The 12,478-nt window shown below is 40.6% G+C and overlaps 1 protein-coding gene and 1 long non-coding RNA gene across 7 annotated transcripts in view, besides 3 other annotated features; one reads left to right on the top strand and one right to left on the bottom strand.

Moving 5' to 3' along the window:
• The window catches only part of LOC101929174 (uncharacterized), a 90,309-nt gene extending 86,456 nt beyond the window's left edge, over positions 1–3,853 (bottom strand). For all 4 annotated transcript variants that reach the window (NR_188508.1, NR_188511.1, NR_188510.1 and 1 more), the window contains exon 1: positions 3,681–3,853. This is a non-coding gene — a long non-coding RNA (uncharacterized LOC101929174). The remainder of the gene's footprint in view (positions 1–3,680) is intronic.
• CTSC (cathepsin C) overlaps positions 4,001–12,478 on the top strand; it is a 44,145-nt gene continuing 35,667 nt past the window's right edge. For all 3 annotated transcript variants that reach the window (NM_001814.6, NM_001114173.3, NM_148170.5), the window contains exons 1-2: positions 4,001–4,236; positions 6,655–6,800. In NM_001814.6, the coding sequence (NP_001805.4) occupies positions 4,065–4,236; positions 6,655–6,800 (318 nt within the window). In that variant the 5' untranslated portion in view covers positions 4,001–4,064. The remainder of the gene's footprint in view (positions 4,237–6,654; positions 6,801–12,478) is intronic.
• Positions 4,006–4,285: an enhancer, noted in NCBI's record as "active region_5382". NCBI's record gives its function as "activates an Ori minimal core promoter by ATAC-STARR-seq in GM12878 lymphoblastoid cells {active_cell/tissue: GM12878}" and the evidence as "EXISTENCE:reporter gene assay evidence [ECO:0000049][PMID:35858748]".
• Positions 10,662–10,956: a silencer, noted in NCBI's record as "tiled region #1780; K562 Repressive non-DNase unmatched - State 17:Gen3'". NCBI's record gives its function as "represses a minimal TATA promoter and a strong SV40 promoter by Sharpr-MPRA in K562 cells {active_cell/tissue: K562}" and the evidence as "EXISTENCE:reporter gene assay evidence [ECO:0000049][PMID:27701403]".
• Positions 11,406–11,525: an enhancer, noted in NCBI's record as "active region_5381". NCBI's record gives its function as "activates an Ori minimal core promoter by ATAC-STARR-seq in GM12878 lymphoblastoid cells {active_cell/tissue: GM12878}" and the evidence as "EXISTENCE:reporter gene assay evidence [ECO:0000049][PMID:35858748]".

The following is a 12,478-nucleotide window of genomic DNA, read 5'->3' as shown; positions in this document are numbered from 1 at the left end:
ACCAGGGTGCCTTGAGGCCTCCTGAAATACCCCATCCCCCAATGTGCACAAGATGCTGTACATGGAATCAAGAAAGATTATTCTCCAGCCTTAAAATTTAAGTCTTCTCTGCTGAGTTTTTGACTTGCTTGGGCCTGTTACTTCTTTCTTCTGGCCTGTTTGTCTCTTTTGGAAAGGGAGTGTATACCTTATACCTGTCCCACCATTGTATCTAGGAAGTAGATAACTTGTTTTGATTTCACAAACTCCCAGATGACACTTTAGACTTTTGAGTTGGTGCTGGAACAAATTCAGTCTTTTGGGACTACTAGGATGGAATGACTGTATTTTGAATTGTGAGAAGGCCATGAATTCTGGGGGTCAGGGACAGAATGCTGTGGTTTGAACATAGGTTGTCCCCCAAAAGTCATGTGTCGAGAGGTGGGACCTTTGAGAAGTGATTGGCAGTGCCCTCATGAATGGATGAATCTATCATGGGTTAATAGATTAATGGATTATGGAATTATCAAGGATTAGTTATCATGAGGGTGGGTCTGTAATAAGCACTAGTTTGGCCATCTCTCATGACCCCCTTTGCCACGTGATACCCTGTACTACCTTGGGATTCTGCAAAGAGTCTCAACCAGCAAGAAGGGCCCCCTTCGATGGGGCCTCTTGACCTTGGACTTACCTGTCTCTAGAACTATAAAAAATAATTTTCTTTGTTTTAAATTACCGAGTCTCAGGTACAGTTCTAGCAACAGAAAACAGACTAAGACAGATGCTGATGTCCCTGGTCCTAGGCTACACTTTGAGAACCACTGCCAAGTAATGCTGCCTCTCTGTAAACCTGCTTTTAATGATGGGAGCCTACTGACAGACCATGTTTTGCACATAAGCTCACTTTTGTTTTATATAATTTTAACATATACTGAATTTTTGGGAATGCAACCTCTTGATAAACCTTCAACAGAAAATTCTACTTTGTTCTCCTGGGAATTTGACCAAGAATTGTCCAACATCAACAACTTTGGTATGGTGTTTGAGTGATTAATTGATAAGGTATTTGAGTTATAACTCATCAGAAATCATTTGTGCTCTCAGAAAAAAGTTCCTATCACATTTACCACGATTCTACAATTTTACATAGAAGTGAAACCACCTTTGCAAAAATTACAACTGTGAAAGAAATCAGACCTAATCGACTCCATCTTGCTTCTAATCTTTAAGCTGTCCTTTTTCATTCCTGGGCATAGGTGGAACAAACTTTGGGAAGTAATTCAGTTCATGGTTTGACTCTGAAACAAAATTGATAATAGCCCTTTCCCAAAAAGACTCCCTTCTTGCCTGGGGACCAGTCTGCCTTCGCAGGACTAACAAATTAGCTACAAGATTAGAAATTACAGTTTAGGGGTCATGTGGCCTCTGGCTCCAAGAGTCTGCACCCTCCCACCCTCCAAGTTGCTTCTGGGGATAACATCTCTATTGTAAAATCTAAGATCAGTGCTTGAGATATTTTACAGACCCTGCACTCCATAGATCAGCTGACACCACTGAGACCAGCAATCTGGCTCAACCATATCTGCCATCCCACCCAGGAACAGAAGATAGCAAGAAAAACTCACTTAGACCCCCTATGATTCCATCTCCAACCTAACCAATCAGCACTCCCCACTTCCCAAGCCCCTACCCACCAAATTATCTTTGAAAACTCTGATCCCTGAATGCTCGGGGAGACTGATTTGAGTGATAATAAAACTCCCGTCTCCCCCACAGCCGGCTCTGTATGAATTACTCTTCCTCCATTGCAATTCCCCTGTCTTGATAAATTGGCTCTGTCTAGGCAGCAGGCCAGGTGAATCCATTGGGTGGTTACAGAAGTGTGAAGAGCAAGTATCTGAGTGCCTCATTATGTTTTCCAACACAGTCATACTTGAACATTTTACATGATGGGATATAACTTATTATACTAGAAATATATTTAAAATATCTGATTTCTTCTTTATATTACATTTGGCATTACATTTCTTTTTATTAAGTGTGTAAGCAGTTTATATATTAATTTCATTTCAGAAAGTAAAGGATTTGGGGTCTGATCAGTTTGAGAATCAATTTTTTGTGTGTGCGTGGAATGGAGAGTTAGTAGTTATTTTTGAGAGAGAACAGTATGGGAATTATTAGATTAGTAGAAATAAACTAAACTGAAAATCAATGTGCCTGAGGTTCATTCTTAAATCTTACTAAGTGGCAATATGACATTCAGCAAGTGATTTAACTCTCTGAATCTCCATTTCCCAATTTTAAAATGAATCCATTAGACTAAGAGGTCCACAAGATCTTTTTCTATTATTCAATCATTGAATAAAGACTGTTTTAAACTTTCTTTACAATTAAGTGTGTTGCTTTGATTACATTCATCAAAGAAATTTCCACCTAAACTGGCTCTTCAATATTGATGACCTAATACAAATTTAATGTTTTAACAATCAGTAACACACCTTCCTAGAGATTCAGGAAGGGAAGCTTAATCTGTCAGGGTATCTTTAAATAAATAGTGTGTTAGCTTAATTATACAATGTCAGCTTTCAATTCTAAGAAGGTATATAAAACCTAAAAGCAAGGTGTTCCCCAACCCCCCGCCACCAACCCCGCCCCAGGCTTTGGAAATTTGTGCCCCCATTGAAGAGTATTTTCACCTCTGAACTTTCAAGGACAACTCCTTTTGCCTCATTGAAACTGGCTTTCAAGCTTGGCAACCAAGATAAGAATATTAAGTACACTTATTTTAACACTCAAGGACACTTTCTGAATAAACCAGAATCTAGGGAGATATAAGTGAATAATTTGGACCTGCTCTCTTTGAATGTTTATAATCTGGTGGAAAAAAAATGGACATATGAATATTGATTTGTGACCAGTGCAAAGGGGGCAAAAATTCATATCCCAAAGAAAACGGGGACACATCAGGTCTGTCTTGTTCATCACTGTGTCCACAGGGCCTGACACCTAGTAGGCTCAGTGGGAGAAAGGAGCCCCAATTACCAACAAAAGCCAGGAAAGAACGGGAGGCTCTTACGGAAAAGGGTGATACTTAAACTGAGCAAGGAGGCACCTGGAAATAGTGCCACCTAATAATTTTTGGCGATCAGACTGACACACTAGAACGGTTCATAAGACCAGCCTTCTCCCATTGGCTAGCTTCCTTCCTCACCCTTCTCACCCTGGGCAAGCCGCTTCCTCTCTCTGGGCCTCTTGCTTTTCCTCTGTAACATAAAAGGGGTTGAGCAATATCATCTCTGAGAGCGCCATGTGTGTGCGTGCCAGAGGGAAAACCCCCACAACGCTAATACATCAAAACTGCAGGTTTGCACAAAAACTGAATTCTGCTGAATGCAAACAGGCAAACAGCATTTACCAGGAAACAAAACAAAATCAAGCACATAAAAAAGTAGGAAGAGTTGGAAAACGGAAGGAAGATAAGTTCTCAAACAGCTGGAATAGTTGATGTTAGCTAGCGAAGTTTTTCAGAGGAAAAAACAAGAAGTTGGTTATGAGGCAAGTGGACCTGAGAAAAAAGACTAAAGGGGAAGAATAGCAAGTAAAACAGAACTCCACTTGCTAGATCTCTCCCTCTGTCGCGCTCTTTCACCTGACCCACTCCCTTATTCCCCCCACACCCTTTCCTTCTCTCCCTACGTTACCGCACAGGAACGAAGTCTGGGTCATGTGCGGACCGCTTGTGGCTCTTAAATCCTCTTTTTGTCACCCTGGCCGTGCAAAATTTTGAAACGTCCCTCGGCAAAAAAAATAAAAATAAAAAAAAAAAATCTGTCCCTGGCCTCTTCCCTAGTTCTGGGTCCAGTTGCAGCCAAGTGAGGGGCAGCGCGCGCTCCCAAGTCCCCGTTTCAGAGACGCGCACGCGCCTGGCGCCCAACCCCCAATCCCCTGCTGCTCAGTGACCCCGCCCACGGGTTTCCGGGCCGGCGTAGCTATTTCAAGGCGCGCGCCTCGTGGTGGACTCACCGCTAGCCCGCAGCGCTCGGCTTCCTGGTAATTCTTCACCTCTTTTCTCAGCTCCCTGCAGCATGGGTGCTGGGCCCTCCTTGCTGCTCGCCGCCCTCCTGCTGCTTCTCTCCGGCGACGGCGCCGTGCGCTGCGACACACCTGCCAACTGCACCTATCTTGACCTGCTGGGCACCTGGGTCTTCCAGGTGGGCTCCAGCGGTTCCCAGCGCGATGTCAACTGCTCGGTTATGGGTAAGCCGCCGGCTCGGCAGTCCTCCGGGTCGTCCTTTCTGCCCTTGAGCCCCTAACGCAGCGCCACGCCAACTACCGCTTCCCCCCAGGCAGACGCTTGTGGGTGGCCAGAGCATCTTGACTGGATTCGGGGACCCTTGGGGACCTTCTTCCCCGCCAGGCTCGCGAAGTTAAAGTTCATCTGCTGAGAACTTCTAACTCCACACTTTCTTGGTTATCTTGGGGACTCAACACTTTGATCAAGAACTTTTTTATTCCTCCCGCTTAATTTTGTTTGCTTTGAGAGAGACTTGGGAACTGCAATCGTTTGGTTCTCCAGTCCGATCTGGTAGCGTTATTTTTAAAATTTATTTTTATTTTTTATTACTATTTTACTAGTGAAGATAGATGAGCTCAGAGACTCTCGAGGATATAGCATGAAGTTTTCTCTTTTTGTTAGATGGTGGGAAAGGGACTTTCTGCCCAGCGATTTTGGTTTGAGCGGGTGTTGATGAGTACTAGAAAACGGCTAGTACCACTCTGCATTGTTTCATGCATTGCAAGGAGGTAAAAATTTTTTAAAAAATTAATAACAAAGAAAACTTAACTCTGAACCTAGTAATTAGAAATGCCCAGAGTCTGCACAATGTTTGGCTCATGGAAGGCTCTCAATAAATACCTAGTGTTTGAACATACTGGAGATATTCCATATGCCTTCAGATAACATGGTTACCCCTAGAACAAAGAACCTAGTGAAGGGGGTGGGGTGGAAAAAAGACAATCACTAGTTAGAAGAGTCACACTGTGGTCTACCCAAACCCTCTTACAGCCTGTGACTTCTGCAGAGTCAGTAAAAAATCAGCTATAATTTTCTTGTCAACAGAACAAAGATTAAGTCATTTGTTACTAAAGAAATACCTTTTTAACTGACTGTATAGCATTTCATAATCCTGAACATTGTAACTTTTTTTTTTTTTTTTTTGAGAATGGAGTCTTGCTCTGTCACCCAGGCTGTAGTTCAGTGGCGGGATCTCGGCTCACTGCAACCTCCGCCTCCCGGGTTTAAGCGATTCTCCTGCCTCAGTCTCCCGAGTAGCTAGGATTACGGGCACATGCCACCACGCCCGGCTAATATTTTGTATTTTTAGTAGAGACGGGTTTCACTGTGTTAGCCAGGATGGTCTCCATCTCCTGACCTCGTGATCCGCCCGCCTCGGCCTCCCAAAGTACTGGGATTACAGGCGGGAGTCACCACGCCTGGCCTTTTTTTTTTTTTTTTTTTTAAATTTGAGTTTGAAGGTTGGGGCAGAAAGAGATCAGGATTTGCACTGCCCTGTCACATGCAATCTCCCATGTCAGAGCATTACTCTCAAACATGGAAAAACTTTAAAATACACAACTCTCCAGATGGACACAGCTGAATCATTTTCAGGAAGGCTCTGCCTATAAAATTACCTTTGGCCTTAATTCAGTAATTAAAGGCACCCACAGGTCTGAGCCCTCATCTATGAAGGTTAAACGTATCATTCCTATCAGCACTAATTGGTTTTATAGGATACAGACCTCTAGTTTGCTGAATAAACTTTGGAAGGATTCAGATTATGAGGTTCTAAACTGTAGAGCCTTTGAGGAGAAAGGTACCCCATTTCTTCTCCGAATAGATCATTTTGTGTCTTCTCCTGGGCTTAGCACATTGTCTTCCTTAGGATCTGATAGTCTGTTTATTTATCTTTTTGTTGTCATACCTTTTATTCTTGCATTTCCCACTTTTGACTAGCATTTTGCCTTTTCTCCGTTTCTGGAAGCCTGTAATTTTCAACATTCCCCATTTCTCCTTTTGTTCAGTGGAAAAATTTCTTCAGTGTTGGGATGCTCTGGAAAGGTACTGTAGTTTTGGGGGTCTCCCTGCCTGCTGGGCTGCATAGCATATCTCTCTTTTTTGAGACAAGGTCTCACTGTGTTGCCCAGGTTGGAATGCAGTTGTGCAATCATAGCTCACTGCAGCCTCCAACTCCTGGGCTCAAGCAATCCTTCCACCTCAGCTTCAGCCGCTCAAATAGCTGGGACTACAGGCAATGCACCACCATAACCAGCGAATTTTTAAAAATTATTTTTGTAGAGACAGGGTCTCACTATGTTGCCCAAACTAGTCTTGAAGTTCTGACCTCAGCCCCGCAAAGTGCTAGGATTACAGGCGTGAGCCACTGCTTCTGCTTGCATTATCTCAAATTTTTAGAGCCTAACTTCACAGTCTTGCCTCGGAGCAGGAACTGTTTGAGGCAACAAGATGGAGCCTCTGGTTTCTTCACTAGGCAGACTGTGCTCAAACTGGGTAGCATGAAAGGAAAGCAGCACAATTAAAATTGAAATTGGGGGATTCTTTCCCCTATTGAAATCCAAATAATTTTCCTTTATTGTGCTTTTTTTTTTTTTCTTTAGGACCACAAGAAAAAAAAGTAGTGGTGTACCTTCAGAAGCTGGATACAGCATATGATGACCTTGGCAATTCTGGCCATTTCACCATCATTTACAACCAAGGCTTTGAGATTGTGTTGAATGACTACAAGTGGTTTGCCTTTTTTAAGGTTAGTTTTGTTGGAAGTTGGATTTACATTTTCAATGATTTGATATCTGAAACCTCTTCTGATTAGTAGACCCTCAGAATTTTAATTTTAGATTAAGAAGATGACCGGAATTGACACCACTCTTCCCAAGAGTAGTAGTAGTTGGTATAATTTTGCCACTTTATTTAAAATTATGATTTTAGTAGGTTTACAAAATACCAGTGCTACATTTGAATATGTATAAATTATGTTTAAAATTTACATTTTGGTAAGTATGACTAAATTCTTAATTTATTTTCCTTATTACTACCACTTTATTTCTAAATGTTGCCATAGTCATTTGGCTTTGTTCTAAATCTGTAGGAAAGATAGAGAGATTACACATTTTGTTTTCTTGCAGTTACTATGCTGTCCTTCCTATCACTACCTGTTGGCTGAGGTAGTGATAGGCCTAAATGATTCATTATCTTAAATGTACTAAATATGTTGAGTAATTTTTTCTTCTAAACTAACAGAAAGAGAGAACCTAGGAGTTACTCCCTTAGGCTGGTTAAAGTGAAAGGTAGCCAAGTCAACCCAGCTTGTTTCCTTCTCTCATTAGGAAAGAACTATTGTTCATTCTCATAACACACTTTTTCCAATTGCAAACATACTCAGGGTTAAAATAGTTTAGCACAAATTGCAGCCCATTTCATTTGTTCTTCACAAGCTGGAACTTTTCTTGTAAGCTAAATATTAAATGGTTCAAGTAAATTGGATACATAAGCCTGAAACTAGGCGTTTCTCATTATACATAGAGTATAAATTAAGACAGACTTTTTCATGGTGAAAGGTTTACAGCCTTTAAAACATCTGGGAAGAAGTGGGAAAGTAGGGAATAACTCTGTTAAATATGATAAAAGACAAAGCACCAACAAAGGCCTAGTTCTAAACTTGTTATAATTTCTCATGGGAGTTGTGGTTTGTCACAAGGTTATGGCGGTCCAAGCAAGTTTACAATATTTTTTAGAATAATAACTCCCAGAAATATTTTTAAAATAAGGACCTTTCTTTAATATGGAAAAAAAAAAGATGAAATAGAGAGGAAGAGGTTGCCTTTCCTCAACTGGATTTGCTGGTGTGATATGCAGCTGGTGGAAACCAGTTTGTCCATGCTAGCTGTTGATGGCCACCAGTCCACTGAATTAGTGGAAACCCATGCTTAACCAGTTGTTAACTATTTTTAGTATCATTTCCAGATGCTACGCATTTTTTTTGTAAAAAACATACTTACAATAGTATCTATATAAATTTTTAAAATTGTAATGTATATGTGGTATATTTAACCTGAAAATAATCTTTGGTGTATACGTTGATGAGCCTAGGCCTTTGCAGACCTCTTACAGTTACTCTGTCACAGCCCTTCAAAGGTTCTTTGACTTCAGATTAAGAATCAATTGCATGTGGAATGCATGTGCAAAGGAAGAGATATTCAAGGCAATTGTTACCATGTACCATAAACCTTGTACATAATTTTTTGTCATTTTCTTTTCCTCTGTCTCTATCCCTTCTTCTTTGACACACAATAGACACCTAGTCAATTTATTACAAAAAAAATGAATGAATGAAGTGGAATTCAGTTGGGAAATAGGTTAAATAAATTATTTAGGAGATGAGGAATAGGTAAAAAGAGACAAGTACATAGTTTATTCTTTTGACTTAGAAAACTTTTGATTCTTAAATTCTGCAGAATTGGAGAAACTGGTGGGGAAACTTCTAAAATCATTATTTAATTACCAGAGATGTAATAGATATAGACAAAAGCAGTTTTCTTCTTTTATTATTTTTTCATCAGTTAGTTCTTAGCTTAAATAGTAGTCCAAAGCTGGTAGGGACAGAGGGAATTAGCTGGTGGCTGAATGAGGAATTGTATCACTTTTTGTGAATCACGGTGTAAGCACATTTGGTGTTTTGCCATTGCCTAAGAACATTAGTCACATTAGGTCAATAGAAAATCACTTTTTAAAGCCAAATAAAGTTATATGTGTTCCCAACCATGAGTTGGAAAGAATTAATATATATGCTGTTGGAGGGTAGAACCCTGCCTAATCATATGGTTCTGGATGGCATTGATCGAATCCTTATTCTTTCATTAGGAATAACAATAGAAAAAATACTCCTGCCCTACTGATTTCAGGATATGTCTATTTTAAAGTGCCCATTTGACAAAACCATTATCAGGGCCATGTTTTCTTTTTCTGCAGAAAAATCAACCACTCTGGTCAGTAGTTAGGTCTTATGACAAGCACCATAATTTCCTTAGGCAGAGTAGAATATAATAGGATACTTCTTTTTGAAACTTAATATAATCAGGTAGTTCCAGATAAACATAGCTTGCAAAGTGATAAAATACCATGTTATTTTAGTAAATCCAATTGCAAGAGTGATGGGAAACAGAGTTTAAAAACTTAAGAAAGATATTAAGATGGAGTTGACTTTGAATAATAAAGTCATCCACTGTTGATGGGTGACATTTATTAATACAGAAAGTTTACAGATTTTACCATAAGCATCAGGGTATTTCCTGCAGCTGGGGAAACCGTGCTTGAAAGGATGCGTAACTCAAGGAAAACACAAGCCCATGTAATAAGTATTGCATGTGAGAATTGTTCCTATAGAATTAGAAAGCATCTTTTACATTAAAATTTATTTTTGTAAAAAGAGAAAACATCAAAACTTGAGTAGTATTTGCTATTCAAAGAGTCTTACATAAACGAAAACATACTCAACCTACTGCCATTACAGAAATATTTGACAAATTCTTGCCATGCTTACCTGCCATCGTTGTTGTTATCCTACAAATCAATTGGATTTTCACGCCTCTCCACTGACTGGAACCCTACAACTTGCTTCCTTTTATCCTCTTTATATATGCTTCAGATATGCTTGAAGTAGATTGTTTCTTATTGTTCTTGCTGCTCGAGTTTGTTGAGTAGTTGGTACATGCAGAGTATTTGTATGTTATGACATATATAGGTTTTGTCCATGGTTCCTGGCTCATAACTCACTCCCAAGACCCTTGTTACAGAAACCAGAATCTCTCTCTCTGATCTTCTCCTACCCTCCTTTCATCTGCCCACTGCAGAACTCTAATCTGATTATGGTTTCTAAGACCCTCATACCAGAGAGTATTCTGCCCCATACCATAGCAGAAGGAACACTGCACAGAGACACCAAGAAGAATCTGAACAGACAGGCCTTGTTAGGTTTAGATCATGTCCTTATAACCTAATTATATTTTAACATGGTTATCCATGCTTTAATCATGTGTATTCAATGAACGCTCCATAAAAGCCCAAGAAGAACAGATTTGAGGGAATTCTGAAGCGCTAAACATGTAGGGTCTGACAGGAAGGTGAAGAAGAACTCATCATGCTGGAAGGGTGGTCCACCCTAACTCCGCAGGGACAGAAGCTCCTGTGTCTGGGACCCTTCCAGAACTTGCTCTATGTATCTCTTCAAGTGCCTGTGTATTTATATCCTTTCAAATATCCTTTGTAATAAATCATAAACATGTTTCCCTGAGTTTTTATGCCACTCTGTCAAATTAATTGAACCCAAAGAGGGGGTTATGGGAACCCCAATTTGAAGCCAGTCCATCAGAAGTTCTGGAGGCCTGGACTTGAGACTGGTGTCTAAAGTGGGCAGGCAGTCTTGGGGACTAAGCCCTCAACCTACGGGATCTGAAACTGTCTCCTGGTAGGTAGCATTGGAGTTGTACTGGAGGGCACTGAGCTGGTGTCTGCTGCAGAATTGATTGCTTGCTTGCTGGTGGGGAGAACTTCCTACATATTTTGGGGTCACCGAAGTCTTTTGTATTGATTGTTGTTGCTGACTGAGAATAGGAAAAAGCACGTTGAGTAGTTTTTCCACACCACAGCATTCTTTTAGGCTCCTGCTTTTACCTTCTGCTTCCCTCAGCATCCTGCATCTCACCAGGAGAGACACAGCTTCTTTGCCATTCTCGGCATTCCACTTCGGAATCAATCAGAATAGCTCCTATTGCTAGAAACTTGCTTTATTAAGTTCTGTTTATTCAGGGCTTATCTGAAAGAGAAACATTTTTTATGATTTGAGATTTCTAAGCCATTTTAAAACTTGGTTTTAACAGCTTGAGAAATTGGGGGTATAGTAGGGATGGAGATACATATATTTGGATGTGACTTCAAGCTAGATAAAAGTTTGGAAGGAATAAAAGTTTGACATCTAAAGTTTTTGCATAGTTTGAGTTGAGCAGGAGGTACTAGGTATGTTTTTAAAATATTTTTTTCAGCCAGGCACGGTGACTCATACCTGTAATCCCAGCACTTTGGGAGGCCGAGACAGGCGATCACCTGAGGTCAGGCGTTCGAGACCAGTCTGGCCAACATGAAGAAACCCCGTCTCTACTAAAAATACAAAAATTAGCTGGGTGCGGTGACACATGCCTGTAATCCCAGCTATTCAGGAGGCTGAGGCAGGAGAATTGCTTGAACCCAGGAGGCAGAGGTTGCAGTGAGCCGAGATCACACCATTGCACTCCAGCCTGGGTGTCTCAAAATAATAATAATAATAAAAAAATGAAAGATTTTTTCTTACTCAGCATCCTCCAGGCATTTTATTATCTGAGCACTTTATGGGAGTTGCATATTACATTTAGGGCCCACTCAGGTGGGTGGGTATCTAAGCATTTGAAATAACCTTATGTAAACTAATAAGGAGTAATCAGGCCTGTGGCAAGATGGAAACAGTCTTAGAGGCATTCAAATTCAAATTTCCTTTAAAACACTGGGCTGGCCAAAACAAAAGACAATACTATCTACAGGCCAGTTTCTAAGATTATCAGATTTTAGTAGCATTTACCATTTCATTGTACTTGGCACACTTTAGCAAATTTGCACTTCTTAAAAGTACCTGCAGGCAATCTCCTATATAAAAACACAATGCAGGCTAGCTTGGCTCCTGCCTTTAATTCCAGCACTTTGAGAAGTTGGAGACTAGCGTGGCCAACGTGGTGAAACCTCATCTCCACTAAAAATACAAAAATTAGCCAGGCATAGCAGCGCACGCCTGTAGTCCCAGTTACTTGGGAGGCCGAGGCAGTAGAATCACTTGAACGCTGGAGACAGAGCATGGAGTGAGCTGAGATTGCACCACTGCACTCCATCCTGGGTGACAGCGTGAGACTCTGTCTCCAAACAAAACAAAACACACACACACACAATGTAACAACACGAAACAGAATACTGTGAAAATGCTTAATTATGTCTGACTTTACATGATGGCTGGATATGTGATTATTTTTTCTTCTTTATGCTCTTATGTACTTTGTTCATTTTTAATGATGATCATGTATAAAGCTCCTCTGTGTAGCATTCTCTCCACCAAATTGCCCAGAGACAGGAAGTCCTGTAAAACAAACTAAGCTCCAAAAAATGACCTCCTGTTGAATAGGCTTTTTTTTTTTTTTTTTTTTTTTTTTTTGAAATGGAGTCTAGCTCTGTCTCCCAGGCCCTCGCTCCTTCCACCTCCTGGGTTTAAGAGATTGTCCTTCCTCAGCCTCCAGAGTAGATTGGATTACAGGTGCCCGCCATCACGCCCAGCTAATTTTTGTATTTTTAGTAGAGATGGGGTTTCACCATGTTGACCAGACTGGTCTTGAACTCCTGACCCCAAGTGAT

Source organism: Homo sapiens, chromosome 11, assembly GCF_000001405.40.
Source record: "Homo sapiens chromosome 11, GRCh38.p14 Primary Assembly".
NCBI classification, from domain to species: Eukaryota; Metazoa; Chordata; class Mammalia; order Primates; family Hominidae; genus Homo; species Homo sapiens.
This window is presented reverse-complemented; position numbering and strand designations above follow the sequence as displayed.